The sequence below is a fragment of the Homo sapiens genome, chromosome 17 (assembly GCF_000001405.40).
Source record: "Homo sapiens chromosome 17, GRCh38.p14 Primary Assembly".
NCBI classification, from domain to species: domain Eukaryota; kingdom Metazoa; phylum Chordata; class Mammalia; order Primates; family Hominidae; genus Homo; species Homo sapiens.
Window position 1 is genome coordinate 78,771,853 of NC_000017.11, and position 26,486 is coordinate 78,798,338.

At 49.7% G+C, this 26,486-nt stretch overlaps 2 protein-coding genes across 42 annotated transcripts in view, besides 9 other annotated features; both read right to left on the minus strand.

Annotated features, from left to right (window-relative positions):
* The window catches only part of CYTH1 (cytohesin 1), a 108,226-nt gene extending 97,805 nt beyond the window's left edge, over window positions 1-10,421 (minus strand). For 8 of the 9 annotated variants that reach the window (NM_017456.4, NM_001365037.2, NM_001394677.1 and 5 more), the window contains exon 1: window positions 10,350-10,421. In NM_017456.4, the coding sequence (NP_059430.2) occupies window positions 10,350-10,371 (22 nt within the window). In that variant the 5' untranslated portion in view covers window positions 10,372-10,421. Of the gene's footprint in view, window positions 1-10,203 lie in introns of all 9 variants that reach the window. The other variant, NM_001365039.2, reaches the window with a different exon arrangement.
* Window positions 2,717-3,218: an enhancer, noted in NCBI's record as "H3K4me1 hESC enhancer chr17:76770651-76771152 (GRCh37/hg19 assembly coordinates)". NCBI's record gives its function as "activates a minimal SCP1, AML or CMV promoter by ChIP-STARR-seq in naive H9 embryonic stem cells {active_cell/tissue: H9 hESC(naive)}" and the evidence as "EXISTENCE:reporter gene assay evidence [ECO:0000049][PMID:30033119]".
* Window positions 6,031-6,080: an enhancer, noted in NCBI's record as "active region_12910". NCBI's record gives its function as "activates an Ori minimal core promoter by ATAC-STARR-seq in GM12878 lymphoblastoid cells {active_cell/tissue: GM12878}" and the evidence as "EXISTENCE:reporter gene assay evidence [ECO:0000049][PMID:35858748]".
* Window positions 6,091-6,140: an enhancer, noted in NCBI's record as "active region_12911". NCBI's record gives its function as "activates an Ori minimal core promoter by ATAC-STARR-seq in GM12878 lymphoblastoid cells {active_cell/tissue: GM12878}" and the evidence as "EXISTENCE:reporter gene assay evidence [ECO:0000049][PMID:35858748]".
* Window positions 8,423-8,522: an enhancer, noted in NCBI's record as "active region_12912". NCBI's record gives its function as "activates an Ori minimal core promoter by ATAC-STARR-seq in GM12878 lymphoblastoid cells {active_cell/tissue: GM12878}" and the evidence as "EXISTENCE:reporter gene assay evidence [ECO:0000049][PMID:35858748]".
* Window positions 9,541-9,940: a silencer, noted in NCBI's record as "silent region_9071". NCBI's record gives its function as "represses an Ori minimal core promoter by ATAC-STARR-seq in GM12878 lymphoblastoid cells {active_cell/tissue: GM12878}" and the evidence as "EXISTENCE:reporter gene assay evidence [ECO:0000049][PMID:35858748]".
* Window positions 10,201-10,480: a silencer, noted in NCBI's record as "silent region_9072". NCBI's record gives its function as "represses an Ori minimal core promoter by ATAC-STARR-seq in GM12878 lymphoblastoid cells {active_cell/tissue: GM12878}" and the evidence as "EXISTENCE:reporter gene assay evidence [ECO:0000049][PMID:35858748]".
* Window positions 10,521-10,680: a silencer, noted in NCBI's record as "silent region_9073". NCBI's record gives its function as "represses an Ori minimal core promoter by ATAC-STARR-seq in GM12878 lymphoblastoid cells {active_cell/tissue: GM12878}" and the evidence as "EXISTENCE:reporter gene assay evidence [ECO:0000049][PMID:35858748]".
* Window positions 13,206-13,625: a transcriptional cis regulatory region, noted in NCBI's record as "candidate enhancer chr17.5512 targeted for multiplex CRISPR interference". NCBI's record gives its function as "positively regulates CYTH1 gene expression with high confidence in K562 cells {active_cell/tissue: K562}" and the evidence as "EXISTENCE:mutant phenotype evidence [ECO:0000015][PMID:30612741]".
* Window positions 15,529-26,486, minus strand: part of USP36 (ubiquitin specific peptidase 36) — a 54,059-nt gene continuing 43,101 nt past the window's right edge. For 15 of the 33 annotated variants that reach the window (NM_001385176.1, XM_011525069.4, NM_001385175.1 and 12 more), the window contains one exon: window positions 23,800-26,050. Coding sequence is in view for 1 of the 33 variants with exons in the window: in XM_011525071.4 (XP_011523373.1) it covers window positions 15,803-15,806 (4 nt within the window). In the remaining 32 variants the exon portion in view is untranslated. Of the gene's footprint in view, window positions 15,807-23,799; window positions 26,051-26,486 lie in introns of those variants that run through there. The other 18 variants (NR_169585.1, NR_169581.1, NR_169583.1 and 15 more) reach the window with 4 other exon arrangements.
* Window positions 19,423-19,592: an enhancer, noted in NCBI's record as "experimental_47538 CRE fragment used in MPRA reporter constructs". NCBI's record gives its function as "activates a minimal promoter by MPRAs in K562 erythroleukemia cells, with activity observed for the introgressed 17:76787442 variant allele {active_cell/tissue: K562}" and the evidence as "EXISTENCE:reporter gene assay evidence [ECO:0000049][PMID:34662402]".

Genomic DNA, 26,486 nt, shown 5'->3' on the forward strand with positions numbered 1-26,486 from the left:
ACTACCATAAAAGCAGAAATATACAATGTCACGCTATCCTGGATAATGAGGAGTCATAGAAATCCCCTACATACCCTTCACTGCTTTTGTGTTTTTCTGAAGTTAATGCAAACAGAGAAGCAAAACAACATTACCAGCAGTTTCAGAGGATGTGGGATTCACTTCTTGATCATTTCTAAATAATTTTCCACCTCCTCCATGCCTCTATGATTGCAACTGAAACTAAATTGCAACAATAATTAGAGACAATCAAGTAGTGTGGCAACGGAGCAAATGGACAGGTTCAGGCAAAGTTCTTTTCTTTAGAAGCCCACTCTGAAGACTTTCATCTTGGAGAGGAGAGCAGGAAAGGTGTGGAACAATAACAGGAAAGCAGACTCGACCAGACTCGACACGGCTCTCAAGTTGAAGTCTTCCACCGGTCCAGCACAATACACAGAGATGTTTCATCCCTTTCATCTCTCCTGTTCCAAATGACCTATGATGTGTGCCCCCCATACTTGAAATAAGAAGGCAATCTTCTAATTCTTACTATAGAATAAGTGTCCTAACTGATCGTGAATGCAAGAAATACTGAAGAAAAAATCTGTTTGACATAATCTCTTTTGATTAACACATGGAACATTTAGAAAGGAGCAGGTATGAGCCATAAGATTCCAGAAACTGAAGTGTTTTGTTTTGTTTCGTTTTTGTTTTTGTTTTTTGAGATGGAGTCTCACTCTGTCGCCAGGCTGGAGTGCAGTGGCGCGATCTCGGCTCACTGCAACCTCCGCCTCCCAGGTTCAAGCAATTCTCCTGCCTTAGCCTCCTGAATAGCTGAGACTACAGGCGTGCACCACCACACCCAGCTGATTTTTTTATTTTTATTAGAGACAGAGTTTCACAATGTTGGCCAGGATGGTCTCGATCTCTTGACCTCATGATCCGGCCACCTTGGCCTCCCAAAGTGTTGGGATTACAGGCGTGAGCCACCACACCTGGCCTGTTTTGTTTTTGAGACATGGTCTCACTCTGTTGCCCAGGCAGGAGTACAGTGGCACGATCTCAGCTCACTGCAACCTCCGCCTCCCAGGTTCAAGCGATTCTAGTGACTCAGCCTCTTGAGTAGCTGGGATCACAGGCAGGCACCACCACACCCGGCTAATTTTTTTTTGTATTTTAGTAGAGATGGGTTTTCACCATGTTGCCCAAGCTGCTCTTGTACTCCTGAGCTTAAGCGATCTGCCCACCTCGACCTCCCAAAGTGCTGGGATTACAAGCATGAGCCACCATGCCCAGCCTGAAACTGAACAGTTTATCATTATAACCCAGACCAATACAATCTGTTTAATTCACAGGAAGGTGTGGTGGCTCATGCCTGTAATCCTAGTACTTTAGGAAGCCAAGGCAGGAGAATCACTTGAGGCCAGGAGTTCAAGACCAGCCTGGGTAACACAGTGAGACCCTGCTCTATTTAATTAAAAGAAAAATTATAGTTTCAAAAAAAAAATCTACTGGCCAGGAGCGGTGGCTCACGCCTGTAATCCCAGCACTTTGGGAGGCCGAGGCGGACGGATCACCTGAGGTCAGGAGTTTGAGGCCAGCCTTACCAACATGGTGAAACCCCATCTCTACTAAAAATACAAAAATCAGCAGGGCATGGTGGCGTGCGCCTGTAATTCCGCTACTCAGGAGGCTGAGGCACAAGAATTGCTTGAACCCGGGAGGCAGATGTTGCAGTGAGCCGAGATTGTGCCACTGCACTGCAGCCTGGGCGACAGAGCAAGACTCCATCTCAAAAAAAAAAAAAAAATTAAATTAAATTAAATTTTCTAAAAATCTATTTAATTCACAATTTCTTCTCGTAAGGAAACATTTTGTAGTTGGCCAGAAGACAATATATGGGTTGAGAGATCTTTCATCTTTAAAAGAAAAATTAAAAGAAAGGTAAACGACTGTTACAATTAGCCAAAATCTAACCTAAACCCCAGTCAAAACTGATACACATTTTCCCCATGCTTAAAACAGTGACAAAAACCTGTAAATCACTTTATTTGATAGAAAAGAGTTAACCTAAGTTAAGTAAATAAACCATCATTTCTTATGATGTAGCCAGTTCATAATACACAAATATGCAAAATAAAAATTTTTTTCAATCCAGCTAGTGATCAGTAGATTTAATAAGTCACCATTTTGTAACCACCAAATTCAGTTTGTTTGCTTGTTTGTTTTAAAAAAAAACTTTTAAAATGTTGATCCTCACTGAGGGCACATTTGCACTATTACAGGTACGTGTACTGATACATTGCTAAGAAAAGAGTAAATTGGTGCAGCCCTTTTGGAAAAAGTTGGCACCAGACATCAAGAATTCTAAAAATGTTTATACTCTGACATGTTCATGTCACCCTGAGAATATATCTTAAAGACCACAAAGTGTGTATAATTATGGCAACCTTATGTTCCAGATTTTCTAAGAAGGTGTTCACTGTAAATAATTGTGTTCTTTTCAATAAAGGCAAATCAGTAAGTTAGTAACTAAGTTTGAGAATAATGGAAGTCATCCATATCATAGAAAAACAAAGAAAACGGGTTCTGCATGGGGTCAAACATGCACAGAAGTGTTCTGGTTTCTGTTTGAAATGGAGAGTTGAGGAAAAAAACTCAAACTCACCACATATTAACTTTTTACAAGATGGAACTTGGTTCAATCCATTATTCCCTCCACAGTTGCTGAGCTGCCTCTGTAGGGCCCCAGGCACCATGCCTATTCTGGAGACATGGTGATGAAAAGGCAAATCTTTCTTAAATGCAACAGGCTCCTCTCCCCAGCCCGCAGCAGCACCCAGACATGCCAGTGCCCAGACCTTATTTTTCTTGTTGAATCTTCTCACCACCCACACACAGGTCTCCATGGTACAGCATGACAGCTCTTCCTATAATTCTGATATAAATCCTCCTTTTATCCAGAGTCTTTGGTCACAAACCGTAATACATACATGTGAAATGTTCCCAAATCTTGAGTAGACACTCAAGATTATGCCTGTGAGAAAACTCCTTTCCATGAAAACACAGAAGAAACTACTCTCTTTTCTTATCAAACCCCCGAAGTACCCACCAGGGCATTCGGCATGGGAAATCGGGTTAGAACTGCCGCAAGGCACTGCTCCCTCAGACAGCCCACCACCTGTGGCTGGCATAACGGCCCTGGACTTGCTGCCTGCTTTCCCTCTGTGCCACTAGGCACCCACCCCTGCAGTCACCCCAGCTCCCGAGGCATCACACCATCCACAGACCACAGGGTTAGTCCTCCTGAGGTCCCTCTGTGTGTTATGACACCACACCTAACCCGGCACAGAAACCAGGCTGAACACCCTGACAGTCTCCTGTGGCCCATGAAGATTGGGGGGGCCGCTGGGGGTTAGGGGAAGAGGAGAGATGGAAGGAAGTTACTAATTAAGAGTGATCTTGAAAGCCTCGGGTGCTAAGGGTCTTTTTTCTTTTTACCCCTGTCCTGAGTATTCCCTTATATCCTTCCCTCAAAGGCCAAAGCTAGAGACAGCAGATACGTTTTTATGCAATTGGACCTCAATGCTTCTCGAAATATGCGAATGAACAACTTTCTTGAATGTCTTACCCCACCACTCTTCCTCTACAGAGAAAGTGAAACCTCGTTTTTTTAATTCTTGCTGAAAACACTGCTATTTTAACTTGAAATTTGTTCTTTCTTGTTTTAGATAATGAATTAGTTCTACCTTTCCTGCTTTAGATAATCAATCTGGGAACTCAATGTAAAAATTACATCAAAGGCAAATAAAAAGTAAGGTATTTCAGAAGCTGAATAAGTAAAGGACATTTGCAGACGTCTCTTCCTTTTCATTTGAAAACTCACCTAAAAATTATTTTAAAATTCTCTGTTGACAACTTCCCTAATTGAAGCTAACTTCTTGAAAGGAACAAAAATAAGACATGCATTTGCTATAATGAACATGATAGACTCCAGCAACTTTCATTTTAAATGTTTATATAGAAATTATGCTTAAAGGCCAGGCACGGTGGCTCATACCTGTAATCCCAGCACTTTGGGAGGCTGAAGTGGGCAAATCACCTGAGGTCAGGAGTTTGAGATCAGCCTGGCCAACATGGTGAAACCTCGTCTCTACTAAAAATACAAAAATCAGCCGGGTGTGGTGGCACATGCCTGTAATCCCAGCTACTTGGGAAGCTGAGACAGGAGAATCACTTGAACCCAGGAGGCAGAAGTTGCAGTGAGCTAAGATCACGCCACTGCACTTCAGCCTGGGAAACAGAGTAAAACTCTGTCTCAACAACAAAAAAAAGAAATTATGCTTAAAAAGGAAGTTCATAATTGAATCACGGCAACTGCAGTCATTAGCCCCAAAATGATGACCATTACAGAGCAACAGGATGAACATACTCTCTGGAAAATCCCGCAAATACTCCCTTAAAGTGCATTATATGTGGTTTTCTGTTTACAACCCTGAACATTATTACACAGAAATATATACTGGCAACAGTACACACAAGCCAGGCGCAATGGCTCACACCTGTAATCCCGGCACTTTGGGAGGCTGAGGCGGGCAGATCATTTGAGGTCAGGAGTTCGAGACCAGCCTGGCCAACATGATGAAACCCCATCTCTACTAAAAATACAAAACAATTAGCTGAGCGTGGTAGCACACGCCTGTTGTCCCAGCTACTCAGGAGGCTGAGGCACGAGAATCGCTTGAACCCGGGAGGCAGAGGGTGCAGTAAGCCAAGATCGTGCCACTGGACTCCAGGCTGGACAACAGAGCGAGACTCTGTCTCAAAAAAAAAAAAAAAAAAAAGTACACACAGTATGCATGTTATAAAGAAAATGTATGCAAAATTTAATTTTTACGATTTTTTTCTTTTTCCTGAGCAGAATAGTATTTTCTTAAGTTAATGGTTTGTCTGGTGGGACTCCACAGTGCCATAAACAGTTTTTTTTTTTTTAAAAAAAGAAACCAATAGGCCAGGTGCAGTGGCTCACACCTGTAATCCCAGCACTTTGGGAGGCCTAGGCAGGGGGATCACCTGAGGTCGGGAGTTCGAGACCAGCCTGACCAACATGGAGAAACCCTGTCTCCAGTAAAAATACAAAATTAGCCAGGCGTGGTGACGCATGCCTGTAATCCCAGCTACTTGGGAGGCTGAGGCAGGAGAATTGCTTGAATCTGGGAGGCGGAGGTTGCGGTGAGCCGAGATCGCCCCATTGCACTCTAGCCTGGGCAACAAGAGTGAAACTCTGTCTCACAAAAAAAAAAAAATAAGGCCGGGCGCGGTGGCTCACGCCTGTAATCCCAGCACTTTGGGAGGCGGATGGATCACGAGGTCAGGAGATCGAGACCATCCTGGCTAACATGGTGAAACGCCGTCTCTACTAAAAATACAAAAATTTAGCCGGGTGTGGTGGCGGGTGCCTGTAGTCCCAGCTACTCAGGAGGCTGAGGCAGGAGATGGTGTGAACCCAGGAGGCAGAGCTGGCAGTGAGCCGAGATTGCGCCACTGCACTCTAGCCTGGGCAACAGAGCAAGACTCCGTCTCAAAAATAAATAAATAAAAATAAATAAATTAAATAAATAAACAAACCAGTAAAGATATATCCCACACAGGTGTAGTCTGAACCAAACTGTCCCTATCTAATGAATACAAAAGAGTACTGGAACTGAGAAAGCCTTTTTGTTGGTTTTTGAAATTGTCTTTAATTGGACAGAGAAACTCTAAGACTCTCTTTCTATAGCATATTATCAATGAGCTATGTTCCAAAAGTTTTTTAATACTAAAAGGTAGCCAGGAAATTACAATGCATTTCCCTCCAGAAAGAATTCTAAAGCCGGGCGCGGTGGCTCACACCTGTAATCCCAGCACTTTGGGAGGCTGAGGCGGGCAGATCACGAGGTCAGGAGATCGAGACCATCCTAGCTAACATGGTGAAACCCCATCTCTATTAAAAATACAAAAAAAAAAAAAAAGAAAGAATTCTAAAAACAGTGGTACCTGTCCTAGGCTGATTCACAAAACGTTACCAACTTACGCAGCAGGGACAGGGACAGGGACAGAGGAAGCACTGTTGAAAACAGCGCACACACAAAGTTAACACCACAAGAAATGTTTCTCATTATTCTGAAAATCAAATATTAAGGTTTAGGCTGGGCTTGGTGGCTCAGGCCTGTAATCCTAGCACTTTGAGAGGCTGAAGCAGGCAGATCAATTGAGGTCAGGAGTTCAAGACCAGCCTGGCCAACATGGGGAAACCCCATCTTTACTAAAAATACAAAAATTAGCCAGACATGATAGCATGTGCCTGTAGTAACCCCTACTCAGAAAGCTGAGGGAGAATCGCATGAACCCAGGAGGTGGAAGCTGCAGGGAGCTAAGACTGTGCCACCACACTCCAGCCTGGGTGACAGAACAAGACTGTCTCAAAAAAAAAAAAAAAAAAAAAAAGGGAAAAAAAATTAAGGTTTAAAAAGTTTATTTAGGGCCGGGCGTGGTGGCTCACGCCTGTAATCCCAGCACTTTGGGAGGCCAAGGCAGGTGGATCACTTGAGGTCAGGAGTTTAAGACCAGCCTGGCCAATATGGTGAAACCCCATTTCTACTAAAAACACAAAAATCAGCCGGGTGTGGTGGCAGGTGCCTGTAATCCCAGCTACTTGGGAGGCTGAGGCAGAAGAATCACTTGAACCCAGCAGGCAGAGGTTGCAGTGAACCAAGATTGCGTCACTGCATTCCAGCCTGGGCAACACAGTGAGACTCCATCTCAAAAAAAAAAAAAAAAAAAAAAAAGAAAGAAAAAGTTTAATTAGGCCTGGCACAGTGACTCAACCCAACACTTTCAGAGGCCAAGGCGGGAGGATGGTTTTAGACCAGCCTGCGCAACATAGTGAGACTCTGCAACTATTTAAAAAATAATAATAATAAAAAGTTTGTTTAAAAGAAAACAATGGAAGTTCTGAGGTGACGTCTGAACACGTCATGTTATATGCTTTATGAATCCATCACACACATTTCCTTTTACAATGTGGGATCTGGTCAAGGTAAATTCTCTGTGAAACCTATGAGGGAAATGGACAGTTCTGGAGACTAACACAAACCTTAAAGAACTTGGGAGTCTTATTCTTCATATGATCATCTTACACCATCAGGTACTTTTTGTGTGGTGACCCTCTGGGTGGGGAATCTTCAATCTTTTTAGTTCCTCCAAAATAAAAGGATGATATTTAAAACTGTAGAAAGGGGAACAGGCCAGGCGGGGTGGTTCATGCCTGTAATCCCAGCACTTTGGGAGGCTTAGGCAGGCAGATCACCTGAGGTCAAGAGTTTGAGACCAGCCTGGACAACACAGAGAAACCCTGTCTCTACTAAAAATACAAAATTAGCCAGGCGTGGTGGCGCATGCCTGTAATCCCAGCTACTCAGGAGGCTGAGGCAGGAGAATCGCTTGAAGCTGGGAGGCAGAGGTTGCAGTGAGCCGAGATTGCGCCATTGCACTCCAGCCTGGGCAACAAGAGTGAAACTCCATCTCAAAAAAAAAAAAAAAAAAAAAAAGAAAGGGGAAGAATAAACTTACAAACTTTCTCATCTTCGTGTGTGGCAGACAGAATAACAGCCCCTAAAGAAGTCCGGGTACTAATCCCCAGAACTTGTGAATAGGTTACCTTACATGGCAGAAGGGGAATTAAGGTAACAGATGGAATTAAGGTTGCTAATCCTTAGCCTTGATTATCCAGGTGGGTCCCACTATAATCACAAGGATCTTAATAAGAGGGAGGTAGGAGGTCGAGAGAAATGAGAAGATGCTACCTGCTGGCTTTGAAGATGGAAAGGGGACTATGAACCATGGAACACAGGTGGCCTCTAGAAGCTGGAAAAGGTAAGGAAATGGGTTCTCCCCTGAGCCTCCAGAAAGAACCAGCCTGTCCGACACCTTGGCTTTAGCCCAGTGAGACCTATTTTGGACTTCTGACAGCAGAACCCTAAAACAAATGTTATGTTGTTTTGAGCCACCAGGCTTGTGGTAATATAACAGGTATAGGAAACTAACACGCCCTGCTTCCACTTACCTCTTTCAAGTACAAGTTCATGTCATGCCTGGTGGCAAAGCAGTCACTGTATTAAAAGCAACCAGACCAATAGCTTCCTGCCCACGGCAGCAGGCAAGAACACAAGAGAGGCCACAAAAGCCTGGTAGGCAGGACACTGGGATCTGAGGGAAATTAAATGGCAAGAGGAGGCAGAGAAAAGAGCAGCAGGCAAAACTGCTGTCGGCTTCTCAGCAGTGGGCAGGAGTGAAATCTGGAGGGGCTGAACAATCTTTTGGGGCCAGCCAGTGGGTGATTTTTCTTTTAATCACAAAAGGAGGCTGGGAGCAGTGGCTCATGCCTGTAATCCCAACACTTTGGGAGGCCAAGATAGGAACTGGAGTTCACACCAGCCTAGGCAACATAGGGAGACCTCCCTCTCTACAAAAAGAAATAAAAATAATTAGCAGGGCGTGGTAGCCCAGGCCTGTAGTCCAGGTTACAGGAGGGGCTGAGAAGAGAGGTGAGAGGATTGCTTGAGCCAAGGAAGCAGAGCGTGCAGTGAGCTATGAGAGCGCCCCTGCACTCCAGCCTGCGCAAGAGAGCTAGACCCTGTCTCAAAAACACAACAAAACAAACAACAAAAAAATGCACAAGCTGCTTTTACTTGTTTACTTATAAGGTAACAAGTGGGCTGGGTGTGGTGGCTCAGGCCTGTAATCCCAACACTGTGCGAGGCAGAGGTGGGAGGACTGCTTGGGTCTAGGAGTTCAAGACCAGCCTGGGTAACATGGCAAGACCCCATCTTTTAAAAAAGTAAAAAATTAGGGCTGGGCGCGGTGGCTCATGCCTGTAATCCCAGCACTTTGGGAGGCCGAGGCGGGTGGATCACCTGAGGTCAGAAGTTCAAGACCAGCCTGGCCAACATGGCAAAACCCTGTCTCTACTAAAAATACAACAATTAGACAGGCGTGGTGGCACGCGCCTGTAGTCCCAGCTACTCAGGAGCCTGAGGCAGGAGAATCGCTCAGCTCACCCAGGAGGCCGAGGTTGCAGTGAGCCGAGATGGCGCCACTGCACTACAGCCTGGGCGACAGAGTGAGACTCCGTTTCAAAAATAAAATAAAATAAAATAAAATAATAAAATAAAATAAAATAAAAAATTAGCCGGGCATGGTGGCGTGCGTATGGTTCCAGCCACTCAAGAGGCTGACGTGAGCTACGATCACGCCACTGTGCTCCAGCCTGGGTGACAGAGCGAGATCTCGTCTCTTAAAAAAAAAAAAAAAAGAAAAATGTCCCATTAGTTATTAAACTAGAATTGGGTTCCATTTGGCCACAGAGTTCTGCTTTATTTGTACTTTGCTACCAAACCACAAAAGTTCACCACTTGTTCTATTTGCCATTCTTCCTTTTAATTCCTCATGAACAAACTTAATAAATTAACTACAGCATGTCAAACAACCTTTTGCAACCCTTGCAATTTCAAACTCTTGGAGGGAGGCACCCCTGGCCTGGGCCAGCAGCCTCAACGCGCGGGAGCGAAGGGAGCGGGACAGCGGCTCCGCTTGCCAAGTCCCCAGTCAGGGGAGGAGCGGCGTCCCCACCGCGGTGCCCCTCGGGCTCCACACCCGCGTCTCGGCAGGCGGCGACGCACCGGACCGGCGGCTACCGGGCCCAGACTCCCGCGGGCAGGGCCGTCCCGGAGCCCGCGCCTCGCCGGCGGCGCCGCTCCCCGTTCTCATTTCTGAACAAAGACGTGGACCGGGCACAACTCGCTGACGCCGAGAGCGGCCGGAAACTGCGGGGAACGCGGGCCCGGCCATCCGCGCGTCCGCCCCGAGCCCCGCAGAGGGGCGGCAGGGCCAGCGACCTCCACCCCTCGGCCCCCCGGGACCCGGACTGCGACCCCTGCCCCGGGGACCCCAGCGACCCCAACGACTCTCATCCCTCAGAGCCCCTGAGATCCTGCCCCGCGACCCCAACGACCCTCATTCCTCAGAGCTCGCGGCGACCCCTGGCCCCGCGAGACCGCGAGCCCGGCCTGTGACCCCCGCCCCAGCCACCCACATCCCTCAGCGCCGCCAGCGACCCCGGCCCCGGCGACCCTCATCCCTCAAAACCCCCTGCGACCCCCGCCCCGCGAGGGCCCCGCGCACCGCTCGCCCGCCGGTCGCCCCGGGCTCCGCGTCCCGCACCAGTGTCCCCGGGAAACGCCAGCCGCCGCAAGCGCTGCCGGACGGCCGGGCCCGGAGGGGACTGGGGGACAGCGAGGGGGAAGCGTCCGCCGCCGGGGCGCACTGACCGTAGCTGTCGTCCTCCTCCATGGTGCGGGAGCCGGGCTCCGCGCTCCGGCTCGCCGCTCGCGTCCCGCCGCGCCACCCGCGCCCCCGCTCGCCTCAGCCCGGCTCGGAGCCCCGCCCCCGGCGCCCCGCGCCCCGCGCCCCGCCCGCCCGCGCCTGCGCCTGCGCCCGCCCCCTGCCCCCGGCCCGAGGCCCCGCCCCTCGCCCGAGGCCCCGCCTTCCTCCCGCGCGCGCCGCACCCCGGGTACCCGGCCTCCTCCCGAGGCTCCGGCCTGCGCACGCGCGTCCACCCGAGGCTCCTCCCCTGCCCCCGCCTCTAGACCACGCCCCCGTCCCGAGACACACACACCCCCCCCCCTTCTCCCGGTCCGCCTCCTGGGGCCGAGCAGGTTTCGGTTTCTGAAGGGCGGTGCAAGTCCCCGGGGTGGCGGACTCGACCTGGCCTGCAGCCAGGCTACTGCACGAAAGCCCAAGGTCGTGTCCGGCCACTGAAGGGCAGGGTGGTCCTTGCTGACGCCAACCTGGAAGGTCAGACCCGGCCCCAGCTTGCCAGGGAGGGCCCGGTCCTTGGCGAAAGGCCACAAAAGCTATTTGAAGTCATTTACTCCTGCGTTCAGAACCTTTACATGCTGTATGTCCTAAGTTTACTGCTTCTACTTCTTTTTATTTGTCCTGAGTTTTACCTGGGTCAAGATTGAAAGGAGGGCACTTCAAGTCCCAGCGTTTTGGATTTTATTTATTTATTGGAGACGAGTTTCGCTCTTGTTGCCCAGGCTGGAGTGCAGTGGCCCGATCTCGGCTCACTGAAACCTCCGCCTCCCGGGTTCAAGCGATTGTCCTGCCTCAGCCTCCTGAGTAGCTGTGATTACAGGCATGTGCCACCAGGCCCGACTAATTGTATTTTTAGTAGAGACGGGGTTTCGCCATGTTGGCCAGGCTGGTCTCGAACTCCTGACCTCAAATAATCCGCCTGCCTCGGCCTCCCAAAGTGCTGGGATTACAGGTATGAGCCACCGCGCTCGGCCTTCTCTTTCTTTATGACAGAGGACAATCCCACTGCTGCAGAATGCCAGCACCAGAACCCCCCTTTCCCCCTGCAGTCACTTGTGGCTCCTGCACCCTACACAGAACACTCACTGAGAACTCCACAGAGATCCCTGGACTGCTGGGAATTTTTTGGACCAACCAAAAAACGGGAGTAAAAGCCACAGAACTCTTTCCTTGTGGGCCCACCTGTCCTGAGTTTTACTATTTTTCTTTTTCTTTTATTTATTTATTCATTTTGAGACAGAGTCTCACTCGCTGTGTTGCTCAGGCTAGAGTACGGTGGCACCATCATGACTCCCTGCAACCTCTGCTTCCCAGGCTCAAGCAGTTCTCCCACCTCAGCCTCCTGAGTAGCTGAGACTGCAGGCACCGGCCACCATACCTGGTTAATTTTTGTATTTTTTGTAGAGACGGAGGTTGCTAGGTTGCCCAGGCTGGTCTCGAACTCCTAGGCTCAAGTGATCCTTTCTCTTTGGTCTCCTTCCTTGGCCTCCCAAAGTACTGGAATTACAGGCGTGAGCCACCACGCCTGGCTGGATTCATGATCTTAACCTTCACTGACTTTACCAGATTGTCCAGTTTTACAGGTGACCTTAGAGAGTCACATTTTGGCCCTAACGTGTCCTTGGGCTTCGGCGTGTGAGGTCAGAGACCCAGCTGCATTTTGTTCCTCTTGGCCTAGACTTAGGACACTTTTAGAATTGACCCCACATTGACCTGGCAAATCTTCTCAAACCATCTGTCACATGGGCTAATGGAGCACTGAGCCTCTCCCCCAGTATTTGCCATCCTCTGTTTCACTCCCTACTTCACTTCTAACCCCAGACTCACCAGAAGGTTCAAGGTATCTTCGAGCTGGCTTTCTTCCCTTATCAGTATGCAAGTCCCAGACCACCTCAGCTCTTGCTCAAAGACCAGAACTCCAGAAGAAAAGCGATTCAGATGGCATGTTAATTCTTACTATCAGCACTCTAGACCTCTTAGCTGAACTCACCAACTGAATAGATTTGGAGAGGGAGGGATACTGGTATTACTGCTAATCACAGATTAGCAGAGAACATGACTGTTTACAAATTCTGTTCCCTTATATTGTTCCATTAGACTGGTGTTTTTCAGCTGGGTGAAGTGGTTCATGCCTATAACCCCAGTACTTTGGGAGGCCAAGCTAGGAAAACTGCTTCAGGGCAGGAGTTCAAGACCAGCGCGAGTAACATAGAGAGACCCTGTCTCTACAAAAAATTAAAAATTGTCGAGCATAGCGGCACACGCCTGTAGTCCTAGCCACTCTGGAAGCTGAAGTGGGAGGGATCCTCTGGGCCTGGGAAGTTGAGGCTTCAGTAAGCTATGATTGCACCACTGTGCTCCAGCCTGGGGGACAGAGTGAGACCCTGTTTCCAAAAAAAAAAAAAAGAACAGTGTTTTTCAAACAGCGGGTCATGACTCTTAATGGTTATGAAACAAATACTTATTAGATGAAAAGAAAATAGAATTTTTAAAAAATTGTAGTCTATCACACATAATACAGAGACAGTGTTTGTTCTGGTTGCAAATGAATGCATGCATGTGTCCACTGGGTAGGGCTATCCCTGACCATGGATGACTGTCAAAGAAACACAGAAGCTACTCCATTAGATCACATTCATGATCAGAGATTTTTTTTTTTTTTTTTGAGATAGGGTCTTACTGTGTCATCCAGGCTGGAGTGCAGTTGCACATCTCGGCTCACTGCAGCCTCCACGTAGCTGGGATTACCACCATGTGCCACCAAGCCCAGCTAATTTTTGTGTTTTTAGTAGAGACAGGGTTTCGCCATGTTGGCCAGGCTGGTCTTGACATCCTGACCTCAGGTGATCCGCCCACCTCTGCCTCTCAAAGCACTGGGATTACAGGCGTGAGCCACTGCGCCCAGCCAGAGAGGTCCTTTAGCTGTTATCTTTGCATGACATTTGGAAGCCGAGGCTAATAGACATCCAAATGCAGCCTACTTGCAAGCAGGAGTTAAGTCAGTTTCACTCTCGTATCTTGTATTTGTGCCCCCAGCCCTTGGAGCGTAATGAGAAGGAGCCGGCGGCAGGGAGACAGGAACCACAGGACTCCACTCCAGCTGTGGATTCTAACCCAGACCTCTTCCCCCACATCCACTAATTCTTCACAGAACCTTTAAACTGGGTGTGGGCTCTCTGCAAGTTTCGCTGTGGTTTCTAAGTCCTTAGTGGTTGATCCACTTGACAACTAATTTTTTTAAGTTGGTAGCTCCCTGCGGTATTTGACAGTTTTTGGTTTGGTTTTGTTTTTGAGACAGGGTCTCACTCTGTTGGCCAGGCTGGAGTGCAGTGGCTCATGGCTCACTGCAGACTCCACCTCCCAGACTCCATCGATCTTCCCACTTCAGCCTCCCAAGTAGCTGGGACTACAGTTGCACGCCACCACACCCAGCTAATATTTTATTTATTTATTTATTTTAGAGACAGGGTCTTTCCATGTTGTCCAGGCTGGTTGTGAAATCCTGGGCTCAAGTGATCCACCCACCTTAGTCTCCCAAAGTGCTAGGATTACAGGCATGAGCCTGCTCCTGGCCACCCTCTGGTATTTTCCACTGTTCCTGGCACATACCTCCCTTAGCTCTTGTTACAGTCTTTTGTTATAATGTTGGTTTAGGCCTCAGGAAACAATCTCTCTGGCCTTCTCTTGTTCTTTCACCTGCCCCAAGGCAGGACTTTAATCTTGCCCACCTTTCTGATTGTGGGTCTTAAGACCCTCCCCAGAGAGGGTCCTGCCCTGTGCCCTATGGAAGGAAGCTTCCATAAAAATTTCCATTAAAAAAAAAAAAAAAAAAAGACTGGGCTAGGATAGCTGAACATGTGGAGGTTCCTGGAGGGTGATGCCTAGGGAGGGCTTGGAAGCTCTGTGCAAGGGCCCTTCCCCATCTCTTCATCTTTATCCTTTGCAATATCCTTTATAATAAACCACTAAATGGCCAGGCGTGGTGGCTCATGCCTATAATCCCAGCACTTTGGGAGGCTGTTGTATCACCTGAGGTCAGGAGTTCGAGACCAGCCTGGCCAACATAGTGAAACCCCGTCTCTACTAAAAATACCAAAATTAGCCGGGCTTGGTGGCGGGTGCCTGTAATCCCAGCTACTCGGGGGGCTGAGGCAGGAGAATCGCTTGAACCCGGGAGGTGGAGGTTGCAGTGAGCTGAGATCGCGCCATCACACTGGGGGACAAGAGCGAGACTTCGTCTCAAAAAAATTAAAAACAAACAAAATACTAAATGTAAGTGTTTCCCTAAGTTCTGTGAGTGGCTCCAACAAATTAATCAAACCCAAAGAGCGGGGGTCATAGAAATCCCAAGTTTAAGGTGGTCGCTCAGAACTTCCAGAGGCCCAGGCTTGTGACTGCTGTCACAAATGCAGTCTTGGGGACTGAGCCCTCAGCCTGTGAGATCTGACCTCACTCCAGATAAGAGTCCAAGTTGGACTGGATGAGAGGACCCCCAGGTAGTGTCTGCTGCTTGGTGTGTGGGGATAAACCCCCACGCCTCTGGGCAGAGCAGTCTTCTGTGAAGATTGTTGTGAGGTGAGAGCAGACCATAGTTTGAGAGTTTTTCCCGAAACATTCCCCCTTCAGCTTCCCTGCTTTGCCTAATAAAAAGAATTAGAAAGGTTTTAAGCAGAGGTAACCCAAAATATGTTTTTCCTATGCTTATACCATGGTTTTATTTTATTTATTTATTTATTTTTTGAGACTGAGTCTCGCTCTGTTGCTCAGGCTGGAGTGCAGTGGTGCATGATCTCAGGCTCACTGCAACCTCTGCCTCCCAGGTTCAAGCGATTCTCATGTCTCGGCCTCCCGAGTAGCTGGGATTACACGCACGCGCTACCACGCCCTGCTAATTTTTGTATTTTTAGTAGAGACGGGGTTTCACCATGTTGCCCAGGCTGGTCTTGAACTCCTGACCTCAGGTGATCTACCCACCTCAGCCTCCCAAAGTGCTGGGATTACAGGCGTGAGTCACCATGCCCGGCCCTATACCATGGTTTTAAAATGTCTTCAGGAACCACCTCAAAGTTTATCAATAGCAAACAGGTTAACTATATTAGGATACTTTCATACAAGGAAGCACCCACAGGCTTCAAAAGACTGAAACAGATTTCTGTATTACCAACAGAAGACAATTTCCAAGCTATAAGTGAAAAAAGCAGTCAGAACGGTGGTATATAATACAGAACCATTTGTAATCAAAATCAATGTATACATGCTACTCGTTTACAGGTGTATATTCAGTCGCTGAACAAATCTCCGTTAGGGGCACTGTTCGTGTGCTGGGAACACACAGGTCAATGAAGAGCAGCCAGAAAGCCCCAAGCTCTGGAGGCTTCCACTCTCGTGAATCAGCACCGCTTGATCATCTGTGAGGTAGAGATTGGGAGCCACATTTAACTCTGAGAAGAGAACCTTTCCATACTGTTATGGGTTGAGTCATGTCCCAACAAAAGATATGTTGAAGTCCTAAGCCCCAGTACCTGTGAATGGTGACCTTATTTGGAAGTGGGGTCTTTGCAGATGTAATCAAGTTAACATGAGATCATTAGGGTGGGACCTAATCAAACAGGACTTGTGTCCTTACAAAAAGAGGGAGATTTGGACACAGAACGGAAAGATGGCTACGTGAAGATGGAAGCACAGTGGAGTGATGTGGCCACAAGCCAAGGAATTCCTGGGAGAGGCTGGATTCTCCCCCACAGCCCTGAGGACACCTTGATTCCAGACTCTGGTCTCTCTCTGGCACTGTGAGAGAACATTCCCATTGTCTTAAGCCACCCAGTTTGTAGTCCTTTGTTATGGCAGCCTCAGGAAGCGAGTACATGAAGCTCTGCAAGTTGTGTTTAAAATTGCATATGCATAGGTTATTTTATTTATTTATTTTTTTTTTTGAGACAGAGCCTCACTCTGTCGCCAGGCTGGAGCGCAGTGGTGCAATCTCGGCTCACTGCAACCTCCGCCTCCCAGGTTCAAGCAATTCTCCTGCCTCAGCCTCCCAAGTAGCTGGGACTACAGGTATGCGCCACCACGCCCAGCTGATTTTTGTATTTTTAGTAGAGACAGGGTTTCACCATGTTGGCCAGGATGGTCTCAATCTCTTGACCTCGTGATCTGCCTGCCTCGGCCTCCCAAAGTGCTGGGATTACAGGCGTGAGCCACCGCACCCGGCCCTGGTTCCTTTTTCTAAAACAAGTAATTCTATTTCGTTACCTTTATGTTCTCCCAGCTGGTTGGTGGGGCAGTGGGGGTGCCCAGCTTCCAGAAGGTGCAAGCTGGAGGGTCTCAGAAGAAAGGCAGGACTGATGCCCACCCTGACCCTGTGTGCTACAGGAACAACAGACAGCCCACCCGCATCTGCTAGAAGGCATGAAGGAAGGAAGGGCCAAGGACGAGATGTGGAGGGACTCGGGTCCATGGGGTAGGTATTGCTGAGGCCATCAGAACACCAGACACCAGGACATCATCTACGGCCTCCCCTCCACCAAGGGGAGAATTGTCAGCCACTGCCTGATGTCATTCCCCTCCACCAAGGCCAGAATGCTGCCTCTTGCCAGAGGTGGGGACGGGAGGGACACTGAGGACTGAGATGTCTGGGGACAATGCTGGCTTCACGAAAGAGAGATGAGGCCAGGTGCGGTGACTCACGCCTGTAATCCCAGCACTTTGGGAGGCTGAGGCAGGCAGATCACGAGGTCAGGAGTTCGAGACCAGCCTGGCCTATATGGTGAAACTCCGTCTCTATTAAAATATGAAAATTAGCCGGGCGTGATGGCATGCACCTGTAGTCCCAGCAACTTGGGAGGCTGAGGCAGAAGAATCACTTGAACCTGGGAGGCAGAGGTTGCAGTGAGTCGAGATTGCGCCATTGCACCCCAGCCTGGGCAACAAGAGAGAAACTTGGTCCCAAAAAAAAAAAAAAAAAAAAAAAGGAGATGAGGTTTAGCTGGGCATGCCAGCCTTCACTTGCCCAATCACTGTGTGAGTGATTTGTACGCCCTGAGACCAAGCGAAAGGTATGATCTAGAGGTAGCAGCTTTTCTAGAAGCCAGCCTCTGACCCCTCCCACCCAGAAGGAGTAGGCTGAACAGTGGTTAGACAGGCCTTTAATTCAGGGTTCTTCAAAAAGTGAATAAATAGAAGACAGAGGACTCAGCAGCTCTGCCAGGGAGCAAGCCTCCTGGACTTGCTAATTTTGCAGCATAGACCTTGCAGAGAGGGTGGAGCCTGGTGAAGAAGGGGTGTTAATCCCCGCAAGAGGCTGCAAAGCGAACTGCTCACACAGGCTTGGATTGGGGCATTGTCTTGCTTTGAAAACCCCCAGATTTTATTTTGCTAAAGCTTGCAATTTCTTCTGTGTGTAAATGACACTTAAAATCTGTTTGTAATGGAACTTGATTGTATCCAGCTGTCACCAACTGTTCCCTGTGCCACCCAAAAGACAGCTGGCCACGTGCCACGGTTTGGGCGTTCACTTCAAATAGAGGAGCTAGTGCTCTAGTTCCTGCTAGACTTCACCAAAATGTTTTCACTTACGCAGAAAAACAAAGGGGGTGCGGGTAGGGCTCAGGGAAGGCAATGTGAAGGGGAATTAGTGCAGTGTGGACTGCGGAGCCACTGACTTTGATGGACGGTGGGCTGGCTGTTTTCTGAGCAGGGTCCGAATGCAGTCACAAAGTATGCTGCCTTCAGCAGCTGCTCCAGTTCACTCATTCAACAAATATTTACCGGGTGGCTGGTAAGTGCTAGGCCTTGCCAAGAGAACTGTAGCCACATAAGACAGAAAAATGGCAGAATAATACCTTTTTTTTTTTTTTGAGACGAAGTCTCGCTCTGTCATCCAGGCTGGAGTGCAATAGCGCGATCTCAGCTCACTGCAACCTCGGCTTTCCAGGTTCAAGTGACTCCTCTGCCTCAGCCTCCCTGAATAGCTGGGATTACAGGCACCCACCACCACGCCTGGCTAATTTTTGTATTTTTAGTGGAGATATGGTTTCTTTTTCTTTTTCTTTTTTTTTAAAGACAGAGTCTCACTCTGTCACCCAGGCTGGAGCACAATGGCGCGGTCTCAGCTCACTGCAACCTCCACCTCCTGGGTTCAAGTGATTCTCCTGCCTCAGCCTCCCGAGTAGCTGGGACTACAGGCGTGTGCCACGAGGCCCGGCTAATTTTTTTTTATTTTTAGTAGAGACAGGGTTTCACTATGTTAGCCAGGCTGGTTTTGAACTCCTGACCTTGTGATCTGTCTGCCGTGGCCTCCCAAAGAGCTGGGACTACAGGTACAAGCCACCATGCCTGGCCTTTTTTGGCTGGTCTCGACATCTTGGGCTCAAGCAATCCTCTCATCTCAGCCTCCTGAAGTGCTGGAATTACAAGCATGAGCCACTGCGCCCGGCCAACACATTCATTTTAAAATGGCCTTAAAAAAATCACTGGTTTATGTAAAAGAACTTGAATTTCCTACACACATTTCGCAGCAAGTATTTGCCATGTACTTAGACTGTGTGTTGAAATCTGGTCTCATGATGGTAAGAAGCTACCTAAATACCTAGATCCTGCTTAAGGGAGTGGCAATCTTGTGACCTGTTTCTCACTCAATGTCTAATGGATATTTGGCAGCCATGTCCTGTTGCTTCCTCTAATCAACACCCTCCTAAATGAAGCAGTAAGGGAGAAAACCAATGAAAACACGCATGCAAGACATGTATCGTGAGAGTGACAGCTGACAATCATGATAATTTGAATCTAACCTTTGCATTTTAGAGGAGAAAAGCAAATTCATGATGCTAACTCATGGCAGACCCCTTAGAACACAGGTCTTGATTCCCAATCTGGCCTTCTTTTTTTTTTTTTTTTTTTTTTTAGCTGGAGTTTCGCTGTTGTTGCCCAGGCTGGAATGCAATGGTGCGATCTCGGCTCACCGCAACCTCCACCTCCCGGGTTCAAGCGATTCTCCTGCCTCACCCTCCCAAGTAGCTGGGATTACAGGCATGCACCACCATGCCCGGCTGATTTTGTATTTTTAGTAGAGACGGGGTTTCTCCATGTTGTGTCCTGACCTCAGGTGATCCGCCCCGCCTAGGCCTCCCAAAGTGCTGGGATTACAGGCATGAGCCACCGTGCCCGGCCCTGGCCTTCTTTTTATAGGAAGTCATGATTCAAACCTGACTCCAGCCTGACCCTACTTTAATCCCTTTAAAGCAGCAAAAATATACAGCAGTTTCCCCTTGAGAAAGCAACTTGAAGCAACAGTTTGGTACAGATTCTGCTAAGAACAAGCACATTTTTAATCTCAGGCCCCTCTCACAGGGCAATTTCCTCAATGCCTGGAGTGCTTTCTGAGATCCCAGAACAACGGGCTGGACAGCTGCCCAGAGGCCTCTAGGGGGCTGTGGAAGGCTGAAGAGGCAGGGGGGATCTGGATCACAAAATAGAGGAGACTATTTTCTCTGAACAGGAGTGAGAAACCTTATGTTGGGGAATGATTAGATTCTGGTTTCTTGCCTTAAAAGATTGTCCTGGAGGCCAGGCACAGTGGCTCACACCTGTAATCCCAATGCTTTGGGAGGCCAAGGCGAGAAGATTATTTGAGGCCAGGATCCTATACTGAGGGGGCACCTCTTTCAGTGTCTACAGTAGAGATCCTGACAGAGGGTGGATCGGTCGGCTGTTCAGTGGGATGTATTGACTGGATCAGTTGATTCTGGGCTTGATCTAGAGTATGCAGCAAATGCAACAGGCTCACATCTTAGAGGAGCTCTCCAGGGTGCGGAGGTCAACAGTGTCAAATCCTGGGAAGAAGTCGGTGGCAAGAGTGGGAATTAGGTCACTGAGAAGTGATGATGGCAGAAGCTAGACTAAGAACCACAGAGAGTCAACACAGAGCAAAATGAATGTCAACCAAAGGAGAGGGCAGCTGAGAGGGGACACAAGGACACACAGGCTTTTTAGGATGGGAGATGCCTGAACATGTTCCTAAGGGAAGAGTGAGACACGGGAGCAGACAGGGTAATTAATGGAGCAAGGTCCCCAGGGTGGAAGAAGTTGGCCTCAAGGGCACAGGTGGGGTGCCAGCATACACAGAGGGGGCACCTCGTCCAGCATCTCCAGTAGAGGTCCCCACAGAGGATGGGGAACAGCCCCTATACTACAGTTCCTTCCCACTCTCCCACACCAACCACCCAGCCCCTCTGGGAGGCATCAGATCAGAACAGTGGGTCTGCCCAGCAGCAGCCCCGGGGACTATTGGACATGCACATTCTCAGGCCTCATCCCAGACCTGCTGAATCAGAATGCGGGGGAAGGAGCCCGGCAACTGGTGTTTTAAGGAGCCCCTGGCAATTCTGGTGCTCACTTGAGTTTGAGACCAGGGACCAGGATGGCAACTCTCAACTCTGCTGCTCACTATGATCCCCCCGGGAAGGTTTTTTTTGTTGTCGTTGTTTTTGAGACAGAGTCTCACTCTGTCGCCCAGGCTGGAGTGCAGTGGCATGATCTTGGCTCACTGCAACCTCCACCTCCCAGGTTCAAGCAGTTCTCCTGCCTCAGCCTCCCAAGTAGTTGGGATTACAGGCACAGGCCAAGCCCAGCTAATTTTTGTATTTTTAGTAGAGACAGGGTTTCACCATGTTGGTCAGGCTGGTCTCGAACTTCTGACCTCAAGTGATCCGCCCGCCTCAGCCTCCCAAAGTGCTGGGATTACAGGTGTGAGCCACCGCGCCCGCCCCCCTCACCCCCCCAGGAAGGCTTTAAATGCTGATGCCTAAGCCTCACCCATAGATTCTGATTCTACTTCCGTCAGTATCGAATGCCTCTCCCCAGGTGCTCCTGCTGCCCTATGAGCATTGAGAACCCTGAGGTAAGAAGGAGAAGAGAACAGAGGGAGAGGAGCTGGTTTTAGCTTTGGTTTCCCCATGTTGTTTAATTTTGGGGTGGGATGGGAATTCTTGAGGTAGCCTTGGAAGTCACTTACCAAGAGTAGTGGGCACATATGCAATGAGAGAGCAAAATAGTGTGCAGGGATCACTGAAAAGAATGGGAGAGAGAGGAAGGAGTTGCCTGAAGACCAAGGGCAGAAATCCCAAAAGGCAGGCAGAGCCCAACGAAGAAGGGCAGCCAGACAGCCCTGAAAGCCGAATCCATGGCACCCAGATGATCTTCTCCAAGGGTCATCCCCAGTCCAGATATGGAAGGAGCAGGGGGCCAAGCCAAGGCGGGATCTGCACGAAGCAGCAGCAGGGCCACCTCCGGGCAAGAGTGTGACTCCAGGGAGTCAGCTCAGCTGACAAGACACAGAAAGCTGCCCGTCTGCATGTCACGTGACCTGTCCACACACAGTCCTCCTTTACCACCACGTCCTTGGCGTACCCACATCCTCATTGCGCTGAGGTTGTCCAAGCTACCAAGACTTGAGGCAGGGATTCTCACAGCACCGTCCAGTGTTAAACTGCCCTTAAGGTCACTATTACAGTTATGATGAGCCCTAACAGTATGTTAGGGATAAACAGATGCCCACCTGATTCCCCAGTGTCCAGACACCTGGGCTTTTTCCTAACTAGAAGACTCGGAGTTCACCCACTGCCTACTTCCCATGCCTAGGATTCTCCCTGGGTTCCCTGTACTGGTAAGATGCCAACACGTCCACTAAGTCAGATTGAATCTCTCACCACCTGAAGGCCTTCCTGAAACCATCGGTGAGCCGCTTGCTTCCCTGGCTACTACTTGGCCTCCGAACCCAACTAACCACCCTAGCAGAAATCATCTTAAACTCCACCCAGAACATTCCACCCTATCTGTCATCTCACCTCTTGAGTCCATCTCCTAAATATCCAAGTGACCTCACTTCTAGCCTATGCTACTAATGCCAATCTCTTAGCTCTAGCCTTGGCCACTTCTCAGCCAACCTGGCGGCTGGTCATGCTCACCTGCTGTTCTCTGCACTCCACCAGCCGCCTTTCAGGCCATCAGGCAGCCTGGAATCCACTATCAGCCTCAGGAGTCTAAAAAGCACATCAGACCTTGGTAACCCTTCTTGTCCAAACTGTCAAACAAAACCTGCCCTGCGCTTTTGCACCTGACTTACAGTTAGCCAGCTGAGTCCTGCTGGCCAGCTCCCACTGCCAGCCCCCTTTCAGAATGTCACCTCACCCCACGGTGCTTCAGGCAGAGCTCATGACAGGCTCCTCATGGCCTCCCTGCATCTCCCTAACAGCACTCACCCTGCCCTGGAGCCGTCAGTCCTGCCGGTGGGACTCTGCCCGCCGCCTGCGAGACGACGTGAGTGTGTTCACTTTTATACACACCCAGAAGTGGCCCTAGTGTTTGGGAAACGGCAGTTAAGAATGGAAAAGCCTGTCAGGCGCGGTGGCTCACACTTGGAATCCCAGCACTTTGGGAGGCCAAGACGGGCAGATCACGAGGTCAAGAGATGGAGATCAGCCAGGCGCAGTGGCTCACGCCTGGAATCCCAGCACTTTGGGAGGCTGAGGCAAGCGGATCACAAGGTCAGGAGTTAAGAGACCAGCCTGGCCAACATGGTGGAACCCCATCTCTACTAAAAATACAAAAATTAGTCAGGCGTGGTGATGCGTGCCTGTACTCCCAGCTTCTTGGGAGGCTGAGGCAGGAGAATTGCTTGAACCCGGGAGGCAGAGGTTGCAGTGAGCGGAGAATCGTGCCACTGCACTCCAGCCTGGGCGACAGAGGGAGACTCTGTTCGGGAAAAAAAAAAAAAAAAAAAAGTAAAAACCACAGCCTCGCCCATGTCGCCACTGCACCCAGCGTTGGTGTCAGATCACCACCTCTCCAAGCCTCAGAACCCCCTCAACCGCTGCCCAGGCTACAACGCAAATGCCTTCAGACACAGCCTGGCTGGCAGGAAGGCCTCTGGGTCAGCAGTGTGCCCTGCTCTCTGCCACCCCTTTGGTTTGGATGCAGGAGCTGCCTCACCTCGCTTGTTCTTACTTGGCTGTCCTCATTTTGGGGTGTCCAGCCAAACCCCTAAAGAGAAGCGAAGACATGATGCCCTGTGTTTGGTGGATACCGTGGGGTGGAGAAAGCTTACTTCCAAGTTGCTAAAGGGAGATGCGGGGAGCCACACACATCAGGTAACAGCTGCAGAGCAGCATTCTCAACAGGAGCCGCTGCACGGCAACCCGCCTGCGCCCCGGGGTTCATTCAGCCTCTTGGTCACCTATTCACTAGGGCTGCTCTCATAACCTCCTGGTCACTGAGCTCCCTGCAGGGACCTACCTGCCCCTCCTAGCCCAGCCTCAACTTCCAGGACAGGTGGAATCAGCGAGACTGTGGTTGGGATGTACTTTAAAAAAAAAAAATCAAATGAAACCAACAAAGACACAGAACTCACAAAACCGGAGTATTTTATTGCACCAAGATCTTGGCAACACGTGGGGCTCCCCAGGCCCCCGGAAAGGAGGTGCAGAGGATGGGACACAGACCTCTGCACACACACAGGTGCGGCCATGCAACCAGGACGCGGGGCAGGCAAGTGAGAGGACCTGGGAGAGGTAGCTGCTGTACACAGGCCCCACTCCCTCCAGCTCCATTCCCAAGCACAAAATTCAACAGACCCAGATCCTAAGTCAACCAAGTGACTGCTATGACAAAGGCTTGGGTTATTGACATTTACTTACATACGTGTACAAGACCTAGAGTTTGAACTCGTTTTCTGGGCCTCATCTTTCCCTTCCCTATCTGGTTGATGACTTCGGTGGAGGGAAGGGACGTGACTCCACCCAACAGTGATAAACGCTGCAGAAAGTCATCTCGTGCTCACCACTGCCCAAGAGTTAACGAATGTATGTACCCCAGGAAAAGGTTTTACAGTTATCTAGTGGAGAAGGGAAGAGACTGATTTGGAGGAGAGAAGGGAGAGAAAGGAACGAGATAAATTCTGTGCCAGCAGACAACTAACATTTTCAACTACAGAACATCACACGGTAAACATGGCAGAGGGAACAGTTCACACAGGAATGCAAGTCAACACCCCGAGAAGAAAAGGAACATACCCTGCCCGTGAAGGCATGTGCTTTCCCTTCCAGATAAGTTACAAAGCCAGAGCACGGAAGCCAGGCCCTCATCTTTGAACATTCAGAGACTGGTCCGCAGGAGAGGGCACCCTGAGCAGCTCCACTCACTGCTGCTGGGACACAGGTGGCCACAGGAGCTTGATTCTCTCCCACCCTTCTAAGAAGAGAAACGTAAAAACAGAAGAAAATCCAAAAAGAGACACCCACCCACATGGAAAAAAATAAATGTATCTTCCCATATTAAAAAAGCAATTCCATCTACACGCCAGTAACCACCCAGGCCCCGAGCACAGGGGCAGGAAGCAAAGCTGCCCCAGGGAGAGGGGGTGCAGACAGCGAGGCAGCCACCCGGGACAGCAGGATGCCTCTGGCCCAGCAGAGCCACACTGAAGGAGGTCTAAGTCCAACACCACGTTGTCCATCTCCACCTGCGACGACTCCGGGAGGAAATGACGGGGACAGACCCGATGAGGAAGGATGTTCACGGTCACCTTCACACTTCCCACTACTATGAGGGCATTTGTCTTTTTCCTGAAAATATCACCTTCTCTGAGGATTTCCTGTATTTATTAAGTTACAAGTTGGCAGGCACAGCTTGAGCAACATAGAAAAGTAATCTTCTTGAGTTATACAATCATTTAAATTCCAAAGCACTCACAAAATTGAGCAAACAAAGCCACTATTTGCATATTTGGGAAAGGAAACATATTGCTAATGGAAGCCACAGGACTGGTCAAAAATAAATGTTTTGTATTAAGTAGTAAAATAAATGGAGAATTCTACCCCAAAGCCTCCACCTCAGTGAAGACCTGCGGGTTATTGCAGCTGCAAGGGAAGCTACAGCACAGTCGTCTCAGAATAAACAGCAGCCTGGAAAGCAGATGTATTCGCAGGTATCGAGGGCTCCTCCGACCCCAAATAGCCTCTGCTCTCCAGGACAGTTGAGAGCTACTCACAAGGAAGGGGTGCACAGTAGGGCCACCCTCTCGAGTTCCATAAAAGGGAGAGGTGGCTGGGTGGGGTCACCTCTTCCTTTCTGAGGACAGGTAAGGCCAACAGATGAAGGGGTCCCGCTGAGGAAGCAGGGGAGGGCGGGCTCGGACACAACGGTGGCGTCAGCCCCGAGAAGCAAGGGATGGCTTGCCCAGAGCCACCAGCTATGCACCGGGAGACCACCTGGGGGACATGTGGCCACCATCCCCCACTCTCCTGATAGCCCCAACCAGGGGCAGCAGCCTCTGCCAGCACAGACCACTGTCTATGAAACATGAGAAGGCACAGCCTGGCAAAGATGTCCAGCAGGTGTGCGGCCACCTCTGCTCACACACACACTGTCGTTTCTCTTGCAGGGCTGGTCGGGAATGTCACCAAAGAGGTTCCGATCTAGAGAAGCCTCAAAGCCTCTGTGTTGGGCGGTCTGTGGACACTGGTACCGGGAGAGCTCCTACCGTGACAGGCTCCCAGCGCAGCAGAGCCCACACAGAGAGCTCCCTCAGATCCAGACCGACAGCTCCCGGGAAGGGACGCCTTGTCTCCAGGAGGCTGCAGAACAAACCACGGTAGTCCTGACAGAGAGAAACGAGACCCGAATCTTCCCACTGCCACCCTCGGGTATGAGTCCAACCTAGGAACCCAATGCATGGCATCTCGATGCGGCTGGCAAGAAGTCACCCTTCTGCAAGTGACTGGGACACATGCCAGATATACACACAACCCACATCCCACACACACCCCACACATGCCCTTCTCCAAGTGACCAGAACACATGCCACAGATGCCAGGTGTACACACCCCACACCCAACACACACTACACACACCCCCTTATACACACGCATCCCACACACACCCCCTTATACACACGCATCCCACACACACCCTTCTCCAAGTGACTAGGACACACACCACAGACGCGCCCACACCACACACACCACCCAACACACATGTGCCAGATACACAGCCCACATACATCATACACACACGCCACACCCCACCACACCCCT